Source organism: Homo sapiens, chromosome 4 (assembly GCF_000001405.40).
Source record: "Homo sapiens chromosome 4, GRCh38.p14 Primary Assembly".
Lineage (NCBI taxonomy): Eukaryota > Metazoa > Chordata > Mammalia > Primates > Hominidae > Homo > Homo sapiens.
This window is the reverse complement of record NC_000004.12, coordinates 121449789-121471217: the sequence shown is the minus strand read 5'-3', so window position 1 is coordinate 121471217 and position 21429 is coordinate 121449789. Positions and strand designations below refer to the sequence as shown.

At 38.1% G+C, this 21429-nt stretch overlaps 1 long non-coding RNA gene and 1 pseudogene across 1 annotated transcript in view, besides 1 other annotated feature; both read right to left on the bottom strand.

Moving 5' to 3' along the window:
• Positions 1 to 21429, bottom strand: part of LOC107986309 (uncharacterized) — a 123175-nt gene that overhangs the window by 44394 nt on the left and 57352 nt on the right. The window lies entirely within an intron of this gene.
• Positions 8375 to 8424: a silencer, noted in NCBI's record as "silent region_15658". NCBI's record gives its function as "represses an Ori minimal core promoter by ATAC-STARR-seq in GM12878 lymphoblastoid cells {active_cell/tissue: GM12878}" and the evidence as "EXISTENCE:reporter gene assay evidence [ECO:0000049][PMID:35858748]".
• TUBB4BP5 (TUBB4B pseudogene 5) lies at positions 19251 to 19677 on the bottom strand (annotated as a pseudogene).

Here is a 21429-nt window from a genome sequence, read left to right as displayed (position 1 = left end):
TTTATTTCTCATTTTTAATTTATTCTAATATTATCTCTTCCTCATTTTCTACTATATTTTTCTGATTTAATTATAAGATGTTAGAACTTGTCATCATAAATTACAGGTCTCTTTAACACTCATATTTTCTAAGCCCTTTTCTATATGAGCTGCCTAATAATTTTTTTTCCAATTTCTTAATTTGTTTTCAGCTGTGCCTAGTCTTTTATTTATCAACTGAGATTATAACTCCAACTCTTTTTCATTACTAGGAGTTTGATCTTTTCCAAGGTTATCTGGCATTGTTGGTGGTAATTTTTTGCTTAATCATTTTTTTTACTTCCTTAAACATAAAGGGATATACTACTTTTTACTCTGTGGCTGATAATTTCAATATCTGCAGTTCTAGGTGGGGAAGGAGATTCTAATACTATTGGTGGTTGTTTCTGTAATTTCTTGCTCTGGTGTTTGTTCTTCTTGTGCTTCTATAATTTGGAGTTATGGATTCATATGTCCCTGTTCTTCGTAAGTGTAAGAATCTTGAAAGTGTTGAGGTTTGTTTCTTTAGAATGGGTATAATTTTGCTTCTACCAGCAACCCCACATGCTACCAACCCAGGATCATACTTGAAGTTAAAGTCATATGATGGTTTTTTTTGACACTAGGATTATAAATTTAAAGCTCAGTATTAAGTGAGGACAAAGCTCCGTTTAGTACTTCTCGGAGGAATTTTCTATTGTATTTAAACTTTTTTCACCCTAATTTCAGACCCAAACAGTAATTTTTAATGAAACAATGCCCTTTGACACAGGAGCACCCTGAAGTGATTCCTACTATCCAAATCTGCAATGACGTGAGCATCAAACTGAACAATAGTAAAGGATTATAGCCCATCTAAGAATCCATGAATCCATACTGATATTAATTGACTAATAATTTGATAAATGGGGAAAATTGGAAAGCCCTTTCTTGTAGAAGATGCTCAACTTATAAATGTAGAAGGAATAATAGAATTAGAAATCCCCAGTTGGCAACCATAAAAATAAAAATTTTCAATAAAATAAAATAAAAATAAAAATTAATTCCAAGAAGAATCATCAATGGATGCTAACACTATTAGGCAAAATTTAAGTAGTATATTTACATATTCTCAAAATATTTCTGTATGAAATACTTATGAATTTCAAATGGAAAACTATATGCAATGAAAATTAACATAGTAATGGGACAGATCAACATCATGTGCCACAGTATGATGCACTGAGTAGATTGTAACATCGCTTCTGTGCTGTTTCTACCCAAAAATGCACAATCTGATTCAAATCATGAAGAAACATCAGACAAATCCAAAATGAGGGAATGCTATGAACTAACGGCCTATATTCTTCAATAATGTCAATGTCATGAATGATGAAGACTGAAAAAATATTTCAGATTTTAAAAGACTGAAGAGCCATGACAACTGTATGCAACACAAGATCCAGATTGCTATATAGGACAATTTTGGGACAATTAGTGAAAAGTTAATGATGTCTGTAATTTAGGTAGGACTATTGTAACAATATTAATTTCCTAATTTATATAATTGTACTCTGCTTAATAAAAGAATGTCCTTGTTACACACTAAAAGTACTTTGGTAGAAAAGGAGCATCATGTCTATGACACACTTTCAAACACACCTCAGAAAAAAAATTATACAATCATGTAAATAAATGAAAATGCAAATAAGGTATAATGTTAACATTTGGGGAATATGAGAATTTTTTGCACAATTCTTGTAACTTTCCTGTTAGAAATTGTCAAAATATATACAATTTCTTGAAAAAGTCCCCACATACCAGGGGGCAGATACTTTTCTAGCCCACATTTTCACTATGCTAAGTCTGTACTGGTGTTTAAAGGTACTGGATTTATGCAGAGGCTCAAGTCTAACTCCCTGCCTTGTATAGGCTGAAGGCCTTATTTTTCTCTCACAACCATTAAAAACTCATGTTTGAATATGAAGTGTGATAGGCAGAATAATGGTGCCCAACGATGTTCACATCCTAATCTCCAGAACCTGTGAATACCTTAGGACACATGGAAAAGGGGAATTAAAATTGAAGATGGTGTTGAAGTTGCTAACTAGCTCACCTTGAAATGGGAAATTATCCTGGATTATCTGTGTGGGCCTAGCCAATGTAATCACAAAGGTCCTTAAAAGTAGAAGAGAAAAACAGAAGTGGGGAGAGTCCAAGAGAAATGTGATGATAGAACAAGGGTCTGAGAATTGCTGGCTTTGAAGATGGAGGAAGGGGACTATAAGCCAAGAAATGGGTGTAGCCTCTAGAAGCTGGAAAAGGCAAGGAAACAGATTCCCCGCCTGTAGCCTCCAGAAGGACACAGCCCATGGGCTACCGTGATTTTAGCTCAGTGAGACCCATGTCAGACTTCTGATCTACAGAACTGTAAGATAATAAATTTGTGTTTTTTAAGTCTATATTACAGTAACATATTACAGCAGCAGTAGAAAACTAATACATGAGGGTTAGCAATTGCCGATAGGTGTTGCGGGAAGTCAGGGACCCCGAACAGAGGGACTGGCTGGAGCTGTGGCAGAGGACCATAAATTGTGAAGATTTCATGGACATTTAGCAGTTCCCAAAATTAATACTTTTATAATTTCTTACACCTGTCTTTACTGCAATCTCTGAATATAAATTGTGAAGATTTCATGGACATTTATCAGTTCCCAAAATTAATACTCATAATTTCTTATGCCTGTCTTTACTCTAATTTCTTAATCCTGTTATCTTCATAAGCTGAGAATGTACATCACTTGAGGACCACTATTGTACAAATTGATTGTAAAACATGTGTTTGAACAATATGAAATCAGTGCACTTTGAAAACGAACAAAATAACAGCAATTTTAGGGAACAAGGGAAGACAACCAAAGGTCTGACTGCCTGCAGGGTTGGGAAGAATACAGCCATATTTTTCTTTTTACAGAGGCCTATAAATGGACGTGCAAGTAGGAGAGATATTGCTGAATTCTTTTCCCAGCGAGGAATATTAATAATTAATACCCTGGGGAAGGAATGCATTCCTGGGGGGGGGGGGGGGTCTATAAATGGCTGCTCTGGGAGTGTCGGTCTTATGCGGTTGAGATAAGGACTGAAATACGCCCTGGTCTCCTGCAGTACCCTCAGGCTTATTAGAGAGGGGAAAAGATCCCACCCTGGTGAATTTGAGGTCAGACTGGTTCTCTGCTCTTGAACCCTGTTTTCTGTTGTTTAAGATGTTTATCAAGACCATATGTGCACAGCCGAACATAGACCCTCATCAGTAATTCTAATTTTGCCCTTTGCCTTGTGATATTTATTGCCCTTTAAAGCATGTGATCTTTGTAACCTACTCCCTGTTCATACACTCCCTCCCCTTTTAAAGTCCTTAATAAAAACCTGCTGGTTTTGCGGCTCAGGGGACATCACGGACCTACTGATATGTGATGTCACCCCCGGAGACCCAGCTGTAAAATTCCTCTCTTTGTACTCATTCTCTTTATTTCTCAGACCGGCTGACAATTAGGGAAAATAGAAAGGACCTACACTGAAATACTGGGGGCTGGTTCCCCCTGATAGAAAAGTAGCTCCCTACTTTTCATTTTTTCTGTCTCTGGGGTTTTCATTCAACTTAAAATTTTTATACCAAAAATTCTTTAAAAAATATATCTAAGGATAATGACTTCCAGCTCCATTTATGTCCCTGCAAAGGACATGATCTCATTCTATCCTCAGCAAACTAACGTAGGAACAGAAAATCAAACACTGCATCTTCTCACTTATAAGTGGGAACTGAATGAACACACGAACACAGGGAGGGGAACAACACACACTGGGGCCTGTCCAGGGGTGTGGTGGGGGAAGGGAGAGGATTAGGAAAAATAGCTAATGGATGCTGTGCTTAATACCCAGGTGACAGGTTGATAGGTGCAGCAAACCACCATGGCACATGTTTACATATGTAACAAATCTGCACATCCTGCACACATACCCCAAAACTTAAAATAAAAATAAAAATAAAAATAACCTAGTCCATATTGCAATATAATAATTCTTCTAAGTGGAATGGCTTTTAAAAAGTTTTTTTTTTATTTTGAGATAACTTTAGACTTACAGAAGAGTTGAAAAACTAGTAAAGAAAATTCCTGTTTTTTCTTTACCCAGCTTTCCCTAATGCTATTTCTTATATAACCATAGTGCAATTATCAATACTAAGAAATTAGTACTGATGACATGAAGTGTCTAACTCCATTTTTTGATGTCTTATCCTGACAACTTTCAAGCCTACCCTTTCCTTTTTCCCTCTCACTCAACATCTGTGTATGCCAATAAGAAAGTCAGAGTATACCTTTCTTTGACACCAATGGGGAGATAAAACTGCATATAAACCCTAGCCCTTGTGGGAGAACCCTCACCCCAATCCCATCCCAAACAATCATAAAATCAAAGCTATTTGCCCCTCCCTTTGCTCAAGCCATTTCAGACCAATCTGGGCACCGGCCTTGCTCTCCCTAGAAAGCCTTGTTCTGTGAGTAATAAACCTTTTCATACCCTCTTGGTGTGTATGGCATCATCATTTCAATATGGAGGTCAATGGTGCCCTCTGCAAGTAACCACAAAACAATTGTTACGATACTGTCAATTAAGCTATAGACTTTATTTCAATTTCACAAATTTTCCACGACGTACTTTCTCTATCCCAGGATTCAATCCAGGATCCTACATTACATTTAATTGTCATGTCTTCTTAGTTTCCCTCAATCTGTGACACTTGAGTCTTTCACGACCTGGGCAATTTTATCATGTAGATAAATGTCCTTCCGTGAATGCTTCATGTAGAATGTCCTTCTGTTTGGGTTTGTTTTCTCCTGATTAGATTGAGATTATGTGTTATCAGGAAGATTACCATAAAGGTAAGAGACGTTTCTCTTTGCATCATATCAGGAGTTCTATGATGTCGATACGTCTTATTACTGATGATTAATTTATTTATTATTTATATGTTTATATTTACATTTATTTATATTATAAAAATATATATTTATATATTAATCTTGATCACTCAGTTATGATGGTTTCTGCCAGTTTTCTCTAGTATAAAGCTACCACTTTTCCCTTACAGTGAATATGTATTTTTGAAGGAGATACTTTGAGATTATATAAATATTCTCTGTCTCCATAAATTTTCATCCACTAATTTTAGCATCCATCAGTGGATCTTGCCTGCAGTACTTTTCTCTGTGGTATTCTAGCAGTGACTTTCTATTGCTTGCATTTCGTCCACATGGATTATTTAGAACTCTTTTGTAAGGAAGACTTGTGCTTTCTCTCCCACTTATTTACTTATTTAGTTATTTATTTATATAAATATGAGTCATGAATATTTATTTTATTCTCTAGGTTTTAATCCAAATCCATTATTATTTATTCATTGTTCAAATTGTAAGTGCACTATTCTTTAAAGTGTGCTTTTAAAATTTAAGTTCTGCTTGTTCTCTATAATCTTTTTTTGTCTGCCTGGCTCCCTTGGATGAGTTATTATTTTCCATTAAGGCTCAATGGAATGCAAATCTGGTTGATGGAAAAACATAATCATTTTGTAGATAGTGGTTATTTTGTATTAATAATTCTGAGCTTTTACTTAATCTAAATAATGTTACTGTCTTTGTATTCATTTTTATGTTGCTATAGTTCCAGATTACTATTAATACTTAGAATGAAGAAATGTAGAGTTAGGGACTCTGTATAGAAAGGTAACATATTAAAAGCTAAAATAGTTACATTTTAACATCAGATTCTAACCAAGCTGCTGAATTAGTAACTGATGCCCTCCCATCTCCAAAATCAGTACAGAGGGAACTATGAAGGAAAATACTATGAAACGTAGAAAACTGTGAGAAGCCCCTGGGGTGACCCACTGAAAGTTTAAATTAATTGTGTTGGATGAGAGGCAGGCAGACAGGGCTAGTCACAGCAAAAATCACGGGAATTGTTATAGTTCTGTTATTGCTTCTACCCTGTCTTTATTATGGGACCAGCAATGCCTTCCTTCTTACCTGCACTGGATCATGTTTTGCCCTAGTGGTAAAATCAGGAAACAAAACCCCTGTGCTTGAGAGGAGCAAAAAAATACAACTGTAGGTTAATCAACTTGGTGCAGGTACTTCCTCCTTGAACCTCAAAACCAATAATACACAATCTAATGAGTTTCCTCTGCAAAGGATGAAGCCAGGACCTTAACAACTGTTTGTGGAGTGATGAGTAATTGGCTGTTTTTCTTTTTTTCTGGTGGCTGAGGCTCTTCACCTGAGAGCTCATTCCCGCCACCTCCTCCACAAATATGCACATTCTGAGTTTATCGTGTTTGAGAGGGACTGAGGTTTGGCTTCCTTAGACACATTGCCTGACACAGTAGCCCATTTAAAAATTTCCCAATTTGGAGAAAAATGAATTTACAGGCCCAAATAACAAAGTTTTTGATAACTACAACTATTTCAAAACAAATATGACATATTAGATCACAAATTCCATCAGAAACAGAAATATTAAAACAGATGGACCAAGAATTTAAAATTAAGCTAAAAAACAATGCTAGACGAGATTAGGGACACATCACTAATATGAAAGAAGGACAAAGAAACATAAAAAAGGATCAAACACAAATATTAGGTATAAAATCACAATATCTGAAGTAAAAGACATCTTGAACAGGCTATACAACAAAATGGATACAGTTAAGAAACAAATTAATAAATTGAAAGATCAGATTTGGGGAATTTCCTTGAAGGAGGGAACAAAAGAAAGAAAAATATGTATTTTTTAAATTTAGCAGTACTTATATCTGGGTAGTAGAAATCTCAGAAAGAGGGAGAAATAAAAATGGGGAGGGGGTAATACTTGAAGGCATAATGGAGAAAATTTCCTGGAATAAAAAAATAAGATGCAGACCCTCAGATTGAAGAGATCATTTAAAGACGAAGATGATAAAGGAAAAGCCACACTTAGACAAATTACAGTACAATTTAGGACCTCAAAGACAAACAAAAAATCCTAAAAGTTGATAGAGAAAAGGCGGATTGCATAAAAAAGAAAGAAGCAGCAAATTTCTATCAGAATTCAAAAAAATAAACAACTGGAAGCAAGAAGACTATCGTGTCTTTTCAAAGAATTAAAGGAAAAGAAATCTGAACTTAGAATGATATGTCCAAACTGTCATCCAAAGATCAGAGCATAATAAAAAATATTCTCAGAAATACAAAGCATCAGCAGCTGAGACCTTCACTGAAAATAGTTTTTGATGAAGTACTAAAATAAGAGATTATTAAAATCCGGGAGAATGAGAAGACAGAATAATACCTAATGTATTTTACCTGATAAAGTTTGTTATCTATAAAATAAATATCTAAGACCAAGAAAAATAAGAAATGTATTTGTAATAACAGAATTAAAAGACTAGAAAATATCAACATGATGAGTATTAGGGTAGAAAGGGAAACAAAGAGATGTCCAATTGAACCATTGTTCTTTACTTATTGTGGTGTCAGTATAAATATCAGCATTTCTTTTTAAATGTAAGAAAGAATTCAAAAGAAACAGAAAATGGGAGTCCATTGAAATATGTCCATCTATATCTGATTCTCTTTCCTTACAGGGACAGAGTAAGGATTCTGTCCCTCTCACTCTTTAAAGTTAGTCCTGTAGCTTGCTAGGACAATGTAACGAGCACAAAAGCCACATGTATCACTTCTAGACAAAACCTTTTTATTTTCATTGAGACACTGTCATTTCCTTTTCACTGCTTCAGAAATTGATAAGGCTCATGTTGAAGCTTGGTTAGCCTGGGAACCTGAGTGGCTATGATGAGCAAAGCCCCACTGCCAAACCTTCTTGGCAGCAAATAAACTCAAGGTGCAAATGAGGTCTTGGGAGTTGGTTGTTACTGCATTATAACTGAGCCCCTACTAACAGAGATGTCTGGGTCTGTTTCGAGAACATTTTTTACCCATTTATTTCTATTCTTAAGGGCTGATCACAGAAAAAAAAAATGGGATGTGTTACGAGGTCCTCTCCCTGTATGAATCAGGTACCTGAATCAGGTAATCAATTACCTGATTCCGAGACTGCCTGGTGGTATGTTGGACTATATCTAGCAATTCTTTAGATGCCTTTTCTAGAAGTGAGTTATCCCTGAGCCAAAGGGTGCCAGTGGATATCTACCCTTAATAACTAAAGTGCAAAGAAGTTGAAACAACTAGAAATACAACAGTACGTGCTTTGTTTATGAGATGCAACAGGTCTTTGAACAAGTTCCTCTTTGAACAAGTGCCCTCTAGCGGGGATGCTAAGAGCTAAAGGAGGAAGTGAGCTATTGTTTCCAAACTGAGAAGGTGCCAAAGGCAAGACAGGATGCATTCTTAGGGTCTGCTCACCAGATAACTGCTGAAAGAAATCACCAGGAGATTTTGCTGCTTGTGAGATTACTTGCTGCTAAAAGCAATTGCTTAAGAGTATTACTGGAGATGTTTAGCTGGTGTCTGTATCTCAAACTTTAATGTTCATGTGAATTGCCTGGGAATCCTGTTAAATTCAGACTAATTCAGTCCATTTGGGATGAGGGTGGAACAAAACTGAATGGTTCTAACAAGCTTCCAAGTAATGCCAAAGCTGCTGGTTCTCTGATTGCACTTTGAGTAGCAAGGAGCTAACATAATTGTTCTCAACCATGGCTGCATATTAGGATCATCTGGAGAACTTTGAAAATGCTGATGTCTGGATACCATCCTCATATGTTTTGATTTAATTGGTCTAGGAGTGGCCCAGGGCCAGGGTCTTTAGGCAACACTAATATGTTGCCAAGGGTCAGAATGACTGAGCTAAAACCTGCGGCTCCTTCTAATGAGCACAGCATCAAGGACACAGCTGGACATTAGTCCCCACTGTTATCCATAGGAGAAGGTAGAGATTCTTAGTACTTTAAAAACAAAAATAATAATTATAATTAGAGGTTATCATTTCCTGAACACTTATTATATGTCAACAACTCTACAAATTACATTAATTCTCTAATTTAATTGTTACAAATGTTATAGGGTAGGTACCTTTACTAATTCTATGTATAGGTGAGGAAATTGGGGTTCAGAGAGGCTATGTAAATTGCCCAAGTTCTTATAGCAACTAAATTAATAATGTGGAGGTAACGCCAGGCAATCTAACGCTAGAGCCCTTACACTTAGTCACTACACTGCTCAGTGTTTTGTAGTGAAGAAAATGGATAATCATTTTCTCTAGGAAACACCACGGAAACAAGCCCATAAGCTCTGGGTGGGAACTCAAATAAAGACTCTACAGAGAAGCTCTAAATACCAATTAGGTCATTGTGGGAAAGTGAGAAATCTCACACAATGAGCATTTTTTTGAACTACATGTCTATCCTTGTATGGAATATGTGCATTTAGTCTCCCTCCAGATATTTCTGCTCCTGTCTATTTACCTCTTTCCAGGTGATGTTTCCAGAATATCTGTTCCTAGTTATTTGGGGAAGAAGGTTTGGTTCTCATATACACTTGAGTGAGAGCAGGCTGCAGGGTGAATCTCTGAGGTCACCTTGCCCCTGCCAGTCTCAGGTATCTGGTCACCCTATAGCTTCTCTCAAGCTAGAGCTTCTCAATGAACTGTGCTGCTTCTGTGGGCCCTGGTGGAGACAGTGTAGGACAGGAAGGGTGCACCACCCTTCCCATAAGCAGGCACAATGCCCACTGACTGTCCATTAACTTCCAAAGCACCATTGCCCAACACAAGGCTGGCACAGGAAACAGATTCTACCAGGTAACTATTGAAGAATAACTAGAAGAGATTACAACAGTGGGGGGAATAACCTAACATTTGATGCTAAATAGCATTCTTTCTCAGAAGCCAAGGGAAAGGAAAAGGTAAATGCTTCCAGGATGTCTTCTCATAGGCATAACCATTTTACAGTCTTAGGGTTCCCCTCCTTTGCCTCTCTTCAAAAAGATAATCTCCTCTTCAGTTTCACAGAATAAATCCTCTCTAACTACAGGAAAACCTTATTTCCCACCCTAGAATTCTTTTCCTAGGGTGCTTTCCCTCTCCCCTTACTGCTAACCAGGACAATGGGACTCAATATCTATGGCTGCCCCCTTCTCAGAGGCTGGGTTCCTCTTTTGAAAACACATGGGGCTGCACCTTTGGTGGTCAGGTGCAGCCTCTGTCCTCTGCTGGTGGGACTCCAATATGTGTCGTTGCCTGCTTCCATGGCCTTGCAGATTCACTCCTGGTCTCCTGTGGTAGGTAACATCCCTGCACCAATTTCCACCTCTCCTTCCCCCTGTCTCTCTCTCAGGCACTGAGACACACCCCAATATCTCAAGGACAAACAATGCCTTGGAGAGACAGTGTAAACAACAGCGAGACAAAGGAAAGCACCTTCCTGGTGGGCTCTTCTACCTGCTAATTACTTACAGGGAGTCATATATAAACATTTCACTGCCCAAATAATGAGATCCTTGTCCACAAAATGATGCATGGTGGTTTCAGTTCTTTTTTTCCTCACCCTTTCCAGCTTCTCAGCATAATAAGCAATGCCTATAACAGAACTTAACCAAGAGTCTCCTTTTTCTGAGACACTGCTGCCCTTCATTAGAAGACAAAGCAATGCTGTAACATATGATAACACTGCTTTTCCTGCCAGTACCTTAGCTTTGAGGATGCAGCTCAGAGAAGGAAGGCACATTCGAACCGTCTCTGTACTAGCCTTTTTGGAATAGGGCATACTTCAATTTTACTGTAGCCCTGAGAAGATGCACGGTAAAAAAAAATAATCAAAGTCTTTAGTATCAGAGAGACAAGGGTTGAAGCTTCCATTCTTTATTTACTAGCTCTGGGACCTTGGACAACGTACTTAACCTTTCGATTTTCTTACCTAAAATGGGTTAATACTTTTGCCTTATTAGATATGAGGACTAAATAAAATATGCATACAATTTAGCTGGTATATAGTTGATAAACATAAATAATAGTGTCCTTCCTTATCCCTTCTAACTTCTGGGATATTTCTAAATATTTATTTTGGGGGTATGCATATGTGGAATTCTTTGTGTTCTTATAGCAGCATTCTGATACAAAATCAAATCAGACTAAACAATTTACTGGAATCATCCTTTTTAACCCTTACAAGAACCCTATGGAATTGGTGCTAATATAATCCCTATTTCACAGATAAAGGAATTGAGGTTAAGGCAACACGCCCCAAGTTATTTAGATGTGATGAGATTTTACCCTTGGAACCTGGTTAAAAGAAAGTGAGACACAAGGCAAGTAACAGCAAAATGGAAAATTACAGGCTGGGTATGGAGGCTCGTACCTGTAATCCCAGCACTTTGGGAGGCTGAGGCAGGAGGATTCCTTGAGCTCAGGAGTTCCAGAACATCCTGGGCACACTCTATTATTTAAAAAAAAAAAAAAAAAAAAAGGACTGTGGAAGAAAAACAACAATCCTTTTAATCCTGGGCTTCTTAGGACTAGAAACTATATAATTATGATAAAGCTCCCTTAATTAGGCCAAAGCAATAGTTCTGTGTGTGCTCTTTGAATTTTCACAACTGGGATTTAGCCTTTTCCTGTCTAAGAAAAAAACAGAAAAGTGACCTTATAAGAAAGCTTGAATTTAACTGAAGTTGGCAGGACACAGGTGGGCTTTTAAATAGTCTATGAACTATTTTGCACAGATATGCTAAATATTTTCTCTTAGTAAGATATATTTAACTTCTTATTAATATCTAAAGTTTTAATATTGGCTTTTTATTTCTAGAAAAACAGAATTTAACTCATTTTAAGTTATCTTCAGAAAATGTTTCACGGCAATTACCCAAGTCCAAGGCAGCTCTTTCCCAGACTCCTGGCAGAGCACTCACCTGATAATAGTGTTCCCACAGAGGATTCCAGTCATCTGGAAAAGCATTGTCAGAAAAACCTCCTCAGATCATGTCAAGATGAAATAATATTAGAAGTGTTGCCTCTGCTGGGTTATCCAAGGCACACATTTCAGAGCTGATTCCTCCCAAATGCTACTTAAAGATCAGTGACATGCTTCCTGAACACGTATCTTTTCTCCATAATCTTATTTCTTTATGTGCTTACTACAGAGAATATCTCTTTAAAAAAAAAAGGCTTAGCGGCTTAGCTCACATTTTGCTTTAATAGCTCTTTTTTGTTTTCAGTGAGACTCCTTTACATTTCTCTCTCTCTCTCTCTCTAACATTAATCTAGAAAAGGATATTTCTCAGCAGAACACACATTATTAAGGGTCATCCTCATATGGAGCCATCAGCAGCTCCACACAGTTTAGCTATCTATGAGGCTTTAATGCAAAAACACTTGCTTTCATTTGTTCCTAACATTAAGCTTTGGAAAAATTCATTAAACTGTATAGAAGAGTGATAGAGCTCATTGATTCTTCTGTTTTTTATCTGTGAAATGAGGAGAGTAGATGAGGTATTTGTATAATTTCTATGGATATTAGATAACCCACTATTAGGGAATGTGTAAGTTTCTTCTTGCTGCTCTCACAATTTGCCACACACTTAGTGGCTTAAAACAACACAAGTTTGTTATCTACACTCCTGAACGTCAGAAGCCCAAAATGGGTCTTATGAAACTAAAATCAAGGTGTCAGCAAAACTGCATTCATTATTTCTGGAGGCCCTGGGGGAAAATCCATATTCTCACCTTTTCCAGTTAGTAGAGACCATCTGTACTCTTTGGCTTGTGGCCCTTTCCTCCATTTTCAGGGCCAGCAGGGTAGCATCTTCAAATCTGTATTTCTGATCTCTGCTTTCTGTTGTCACACCTCCTTCTCTGACTGTGCCACTCCTGCTTTCTTCCATCTTATAAGGACCCTTGTGATTACACTGGGCATACTCAAATAATATAGATTAACCCTCCCATATCAAGATTCTTAACCTTATCACATCTGCAAAGTCGCTTCTGCTGTGTAAGGTAACATATTCACAGGCTTCAGAAATTTTGAGGCAGACATTTTCGGATGCAGACGTTTTGGTAGGCTGTTACCCTGCCTACCACAGAAAGGTACTGATTAAATGCCTACAACATTAACTTTCACTCACACAGTCACATAAATATAAGCGTGTGCAAAGTATTACATTTAGTGAGTGGTTTGGTGTGGGCAGGGGATACTCACAGCACAGCCGTTTTAGAGGTCACACACAGTTCCAGTAAGGATAGATTCTAAAGAGACCACTTTGCGGAATGGGTTTTCTTAAAGGGTCAGCAAGAGCTACACATGAGAGTTGCCCCCTCCCATGGCTGAGGAAAGTGTCACATGGCATGTGGTGGATCACCAAGTGGGTCTAGAAAACAAAGTGAGTAAATTCATGATGGCACACCGCCGTGTTTTATTACAGTTCAGAAGTTCCCTTGAGCTTAAAGGTTTTTTCCCTGCTGTTTCACTTGCCAGCAGAGTTGCTCTGTAGATTACACAGTATGTCAACTCACTGAATGCTTTCCACTCACTAGAGCGTCTGTGCCTTTAAACATTAAGATATGGAAGAATTTTAGGTTCTTCTAATCCACCCGTGGTGTGTGATAGATGAATAAACAGACACACAAAGCGTAATTAACTTGCCCAAAGTCACTCTGGTAGAACCTGCGCTATAACCAGACGCTGGCATGATTCCTGTTCCAGTGCTCTGGCTGCTATGCCATGCTACCTCTGGCTTTGTTTGCAAATGCTGTTGGGACAAGCAAATGCAATAGCAGGTGGTTAAATATGGATATTAAAGCTTTACTTTCATAGCAAATAGATGGGAATTAATGCTAATTTCTGAAATGCAAGAGTACCTCTCTTTTTTTTAGGAATGATGAAGTCACATTTTGAAATAAAAGGAACACTATATTTTCACATTTAAATTGATATTCTACAAGTCTGATAAATAAGAATCAATATGAAGGGAAAATTATTTTACCCACCATAGTTGGTAAAATTGTCATTGTTCTCTGTTGCTTCTTTTATCTATATTATTTAATTTTTTTCTTTTGATAAAGATTTATCTACTTTGAGTTGGAATAAAATCCAAACTTTCCTTACTTAGAAAGAAAACTATCGGCAGCCTAATGTTTGCCAGGGGGAAATTATAAAGTCTTCAATATTCCTCTCAGAGAAAAATGTCAATTTCCTGGGATCTGAGATTATTTTAAGTGCTTTATCTTTACATAACCAAAATGTCCCCAGTTTTCTTCCAACGTTAACATTCTAGACGTAAATTTCCTTGGTTTATTAGCCTCCATCTGCTGCCTAGGACTCCATCGGATCCCCTAGGCCTCCTCTGTCTCCTCGGGACTTTCTTTAGGTTGGGTCTCAGTTGTGCTGGCTGCCAAATTTAAGCTAGCTCCTCCACCACTGCCTCTTCACTGATGCCTGAGACCTATTCTTCCCAAAGCAGAAGTGGGGAGATCCCCCTCAAACTCCCTTACTCAATTCCATCTTGTATTTGGTTATTTAGTCCCCTAAGCAGCACTTGGTTACCCTAAATGTGATAAAAAGCCCCCCTGGAAGTGTGTTAGCTTCTTCTCACTCTCTAGCAGGTTCTCTGTTGTCCCGTCAGGTTGAGGAACAGACATAATTACCCTCTGTCTTGCCAACTTGCATAAAATCAATGAATATGGGTAGATATGCTAGGGAAGAGTGGGGGGGTGGGAAAAGGCAACTCAATCTGTCAGGCTCAGCTTTCTATACTGAGATAAGTAACTGCCTGCTAATTTATGATCATGATGAGTGATTTTTAAGTGGCAGGAATAAAATGCTCCCCAACAGCTTCCCATTCTATTAACTTCATTTTTAACTTATTATTTAGTCAACCTTACTTTTACTAATGACTGTCAGAACTAGAAAAACACTGTTAAGAAAAGTGGGGCCGGACACCGTGGCTCACGCCTATAATCCCAGCATTTTGGGAGGGTGAGGCAGGCAGATCACTTAAGTCCAGGAGTTTGAGGCCAGTCTGGGAAACATGGCAAAACCCTGTATCTACAAAGAATATAAAAAATTCAGCCAGGCTGGTGGTGCATGCCTATAGTCCCAGCTATTCGGGAGGCTGAGCTAGGAGGATGGCTTGAGCCCAGGAGGCAGAGGTTGCAGTGAGCCAAGACTGTGCCACCGCATTCCAGCCTGGGTGACAGAGTGAGATCCTGTCTCAAAAAAAAGAAAAAAAAGTGAGAAACATTAAAGTTATCTAATACTCTTTTTTAAAAAACAAAAAAAAATTACTTTATTGAAAACACTTTAAAAATAATGAAAATCTAAGCCAAAAATTACCCATTAAGTCCTGAATTAAAGACAATGTTTTCATTCTCCCAGGTTACCACCCAGTTCCTTTTTTAATGCCTCTGTAATATGTTATTAAACATGTAGGGGGTGTAAAAGGAAGACCCTCTGTGGGGTCAAGTCATGTTTTGTTAAAATTCTAATTCACAGATATGTTTTTCCAAATAGGATTATGAATTTCTTTGGAAACTTTTTCTTTCTCTCAAATTCTACCTCCCAAACATAAGAATCATCCAGACTCCTTTCTGAGATTTTCTGTTTTCTTCACCACCCATGTGTAAATAGTTTTCCTCCCAGCCAGGCTCGTGAAGGAGCAATTTGCAGCCAGGCTGCGGCAGGCTTGCCTATTCTCAGTCCCAGTGCAGCTTCTCAGAACCCCTGGCTCCCCTTGGCCATTCAAAGGCTGGCCTTGATGTAATTTTATGCCTGTAAAAGGTGATGTTTCTCCCTGCGGGTTCCTTCACCCTGTCTTCCCATATTACTTGCTATTTTGAGATTCAGAACATTTCTTTAGCTGCTTCTCTCAGATTTTTTTCTCTGTGTTCCTCTTACCAAAGCTTTTATGTCAGCCTTCATCTCTATGCTGATGTATCTCAGAGGGAGAAGTAAGCGGCTACTTTGGTAATTGATTTATTCATCTTCTATTTTGGGGTTTTTTTGAGATGTAATTTGAGTGTCTCAAATTACACTCTTTACATTACTTTCTTTCCTTTTTTTCTAAGGACAGAGGAATTTGGAGTTGGGTGGAAAAAGAACAAGAAAGGAAAGATATTCATTTGTCATTATAACCAATATTAAAATAGTTATGAGCATCTACTATATGGCAAGCATCTACTACATGGCAAGCACTGGTCACAACAATGCATGAGGAAAATACAGCCCTTATTCTCCTAGAAGGTACAACCCAAGGTAGGGGACAAGCTAGGGGTGGCAAGGGGGATGTGCAAATACAGCTTAGTCACTGGGAAGGAAGGGAGATGTAAGTTGCTTTGAAAACACATAAAGCTCTCGTCTGGGAGCTATATGTCAGGAACTGTCTGCTCAGTGAGAGTGACTTCCAAGTGGAGACCTGACAGTTGAGTAGGAATTAGCCTGGCAAAGACAAGAGGCTTGTTCCGGGAGAAAGAAATAGATCTGAGGTGGGAGACTGCATGAGGAACTCAGGCTCCTGCAGGGAGTGCAGTGTGGCTGGAGCCCAGACTGTGAGGGGGCAGCAGCAAGCAAGGAAGGGTCTCTCAAACAATGTTTGGTAGGTGGGACTTTTTCCTGAGGGAAACTGTCCCTGGTAGGGAGACAGGAAATGTTACAAGCTGGGAAGTGACAGGGTCACTGTGTTATTGTGTGGAGAAAAGATACCAGGTGTGGGAGGCAAGGAAGTAGGAAGCTGTCTTAAATTATCTAGAAATAACAGTGGTGTGACCAGAAAAGGTGGCTGTGGTGTTGGGAAACAGGCAGTATATTGGAGAGGTATTTCACCAGTAAGATTGACAGGACTGGGTGACTAACTCTGTATGTAGATAAGAGAGAGAGGGATTTTCTTGGATAACATGTAGGATTCTGGCTTCAAATAATAGGTAGATATTAGTGGCTCTCGTTGAGTCAGGGAACACTTGAGGAAGACTGGGTTTTGATTTCAGTTTGAAGAATGTTGAGGTTTATATGGGGGCAGGGGATGAGAATGAAAACAGAGATAAGCATATATGGATCTGGAGCTCAGGGTTGAAAATACACATTTGGGAATTATCAATAATAGTTGGTACAGATCTATAATTCCTTATCCACAACTCCAAATCTCAAAAGCCCTAAAATCCAAGTGATTTTGATTTTAAGTTTCATGCAAATGCATTTGAAGCAAAGTCTGATATGAACTAAGTTAAGGTATTTTTTAATCTTTATCCCAATAATATGATTATTTATACCTTTTGTTCTAGGAAGGTTAATGTGATCAGTTATGGGGTGGGTGCTGCCCAGATCCTAATGTTAATGTTAGTAATATACAGTAAATACAGTGTTTTAGATTTCTAAAATCCAAAAAGATAATCTAAGTTTGAAACCATTTGTCCTCAAGGGTTTGTGGACTTATATTTGAAATCTGGAGAGCGGATAAGAGCCTGAAGGACAGTCTGTGAAATAATGAGAGTTCTATGATGGATATAATAAATTGTCACTCAGTAGCTATCTCAAATATCTATCCTGTTTTTCAGAAACTAGAAAGTTAGAAACTACATTTTTCTCATTGGAAGCTGCTGTTTTAGACAAATTTCCCAAAGCAGATGAATTTCTGCCAGATTTGGAAGATGAAAGTGATATAAAGGTTGTGTGCCTGCAGTTGCTGCTGGTGAGCCCAGCCATGAAGGATGTGGAAGTCTAGATTTGGTGGTAGCATCCTGAACAGGCTGCTTCCTGATCCTGGGAGCTTCCTGATTATGGTAGTGAAGGAGGTTATAAATGTCAGCTACAACTTTGTGAACAGTTGCAGAAATAAGGTCCGTGGTAGCTACTTATATGCTTTATTATGTATTATGTTAATATACACGAAAGTATTTAAAGGAAGCATATATTTTGTATATGCTTTCCCCTTCTTCCCTTTCTTTTTCCTTTTCTCTTTGATACACAGTATGTTGATGATTGCCAAATTTATCATTTTGGCCACAGGCACAGGATGTCCAAATAGTATGGTGACTGAACTAGGAAAGAATTGAGTGTCACCCAGTGGTGACTGGATGGATGCAGTTACTGATGGAATTTTGGGTCTTCTCCTCACAGGGGAAGATGAGATTGTTTTCATAGGTGTGAAACATAGTGTTGTCACATTAGGTAGGAGCACATTGCTGTTGCTAGTGGTGTTAAGTGTGGGTAGAAGGTTGTGCTGGGTGTTAAGTAGCCAGTGGGGTATAGCTCCATCTCATGTTAGTCTCGTATGCTATTCTTTCTTCAGAGGCTGGAACATAAAATTACCTTTCCCATACTCTTGCAACTAGGATTCTGGATATGATTTGGGTTTTACCAATTAGATGCTTTTATGTGAGATTTGGAAAGTAGAAGTAAAGTGGGGAGATTCTAATGTTTCATATGTCATTTCTGTTTTAAGCACCATCTGGAGGTAGTATCTTCGCCACTGGGGCAGCTTCCTGATCAAAGCTTTGCCATTTTTATTGTTAGATTCCTGACTGTGGCAATGGGGGTTTAGTTCTGGAGTCAATAGATGGCACCTTCACAGTTTGACAAGTGGCTTCATGAGTGTAAGGGACAGTGTCTCCTTTTATGATTTTGAAGATATTCCTAAAACATCAATCTTAAGTTTGCTTCTGAGCTTTCACAGTAGCTCTGCAGGTAATTTAATACCCTGTAGTAAATCCCTCCCTGGTTAACCTGGCTGGAGAAAATTCTGTTTGCTTCAGTGAATTCTGACTGAAAAAAAAAAAAACGTGCCTAAGGCAAACCCTCAGGAAAAGCTACTTATGATACATGATAAGAACAGAGAACTTGACCAAAATTAATTGGAGTAAGCAGAGAGGTAGAGAGAAAAAAAATAGTGTAATGTCATGGAAGGCTATGGATACTAAATTAGAAACAACTTCAAACTAGGCCACATCATGGAAGATAAGAAAAAAACTCTCTATCACCATTATCAGAATGAGCAAACAGAGCACAGAATAATTTTTTTGATGCTGTGAATACTTCTAGTGATTATATGGCAAGACAAGGCTACAGATCAACATATATATATGCATGAAGCATATATATGCTTTAATAGAGATGAACACACAGCAAGTGCGCAAACAGTGAGACATGGATATCATAGAACACATTGTGAGTAAATAAAGAATTCACATCGCTTCTACCCTTTACCCAGTAAGAGAAGGCTCTAGGCCACCTCTTCCTCAAACTCTGTCTTCCTTGGCCATGGCATCCTGGTACTGTTGGTACTTGGGCACCAGGTCATTCATGTTGCTCTCAGCCTCAATGTACTCATCCATCTCATTCATGCCCTCACCCATGTACCAGTGCAGGGAGGCCTTGCACCTGCGTATGACAGTGAGCTGCTCCAAGATGCGCTTAAACAGCTCCTGGATGGCTGTGTTGTTGCTGATGAAGGTGGAGGACATTTTTAGCTCTGGAAGTGGCTACATTTCACATTATGGGGGGACCCAATGAGCAAAGTAGCTCCTGTGCTTGTTTTGGATGTTAAGCATTTTCTTGTCCACCTCCCTCATGGACATGCAGTCCCTGAAAATGGCAGCTGCTGCTAGGTAGCAGCCACAGCAGGGGTCACATGTAGCCGTTATGTTCTTGGCTTCTTGGTCTGCTGATGACCATCTAGGGTCAGGGCAGTCTGTGGCTTGGGAATTGGTGTTGCTTAATGTTTTTATCCACACACAAACAAAATTCAAATGTCTTTTGTATTGGGCAAGTAGGCAAAGCCTCTTGTATTTATTCCAGACAACTAAAAAATAATCCCTAAAACATACCTCACTTTCAACATGTTAGAAACACCTCATAGTTACATAGGAGTTGCTAATCTTGAGCATTTCCTTTATACTTTTCAATTATTTCCCCTCTCTTAGAGACACACATCTATTTTTCTTCTCCAATTTTTAATATGAATCTTCAGTGATTTCATTTACCTCCTGGTTTTGTACCATAGAAGTGGCCATTTCATCTTTAGTACCTTCTTCCAGACAGGTTTATAGCTACCACAGCATCCACTTCTATACTCCCAAATGTCTATGTGTAACTCACGATTTCAAATGTATACTATTATGGTTACCACTTGTTAAGATAAAAGTTATAGCTAGGATTGTCACAGTCACTGTGGAATTTACAGATACTAAGAAGTTTATCTTCTACTGTTCCATATTTTAAGCATTTAGAATACTACCTACCAAGAAGGTACTTGTTACTGATCTGACATCCAGAAACCTCCTGTCGGGGATTCAGCTAGCTTCATGGTCTATCTATCAGTGTTTGCTAGTTTGTTCTTTACTTTCCCAGGACTTAGCATCATCTTCCAACCTACAAATATGATTATATTGTTTCTCCCCCTTCTCGATTATTTATACAAATGCTTGATGAAAATGACCCTAGATGGAACTGGCAGATTCTGTTGTTTACATGACTACATTTAGAAAAGTACTCATTTGTTCCTTTTATTGCCTGATTAGAATTAGACAACAAGAGTTCATGAATAAAATATCCCAGTGCTGATTTTTAAAGAAGGCCTTGATTAGGAAAACTATCAAATTTTTAAAGTATAAGTATATTACATAGTCTGGATTTCACTTTGTCACATGTTTATTCTTCAAATTTCTGGTATATTAAAATAGGCATCTAGGAGAAATTCCACTGTCACTTATTACTTTAGATAAATGAAACTAAGATAAGATAACATGAAACTCATAGAAACAACTCAAGAACAGAGTGACAGCACAAAAGGTACTGCATTGTGGTGGGTACCAATAAATACAATGCCAACGCTATTGACAAACCTTCAGAAAGAAGAATGAATCCAAAATTATGCAATTTTACCAAAATAGAGTAAAAAAGGATTACTCAGAGGCATAGAGTATAAAAAAGAAAGATATTATCACACAAAAATCTCAATGATAAAATATAATCACTATGCCATTTTGAAATAACTATCTGTTTGATTTTTGAAACTTTTATAAAAACGAGCCTATAAATATAACACCTTAATGCTCCTGCCTTTCTTGCATATCTTACCTGTTCTGGTTGGCTGGTAGATTCTGTTGGTATACACTTTGTATTCAGAGGAAGACAAGACAACTTGCAAGGGTAGGAGGAATTTCTTTTTCTGTCGTGGATAATTAATTAGGCTATAGGTTTGCATCAATAGCCCTCTGTTGCTTCCCTCCTCTCTCTCTCATGCATGTGTACACACACACCAACACACATACATTTACACCAACCCTTCTCCACATACACACTCTGCCTGTCATTTAATTCTACAACCCATCTTGCCAATCCTCTTTGAAACTCAGTGCAAGCCCTATAATTTGATCTTTCTCTTTTCTTTTAGGAACTCC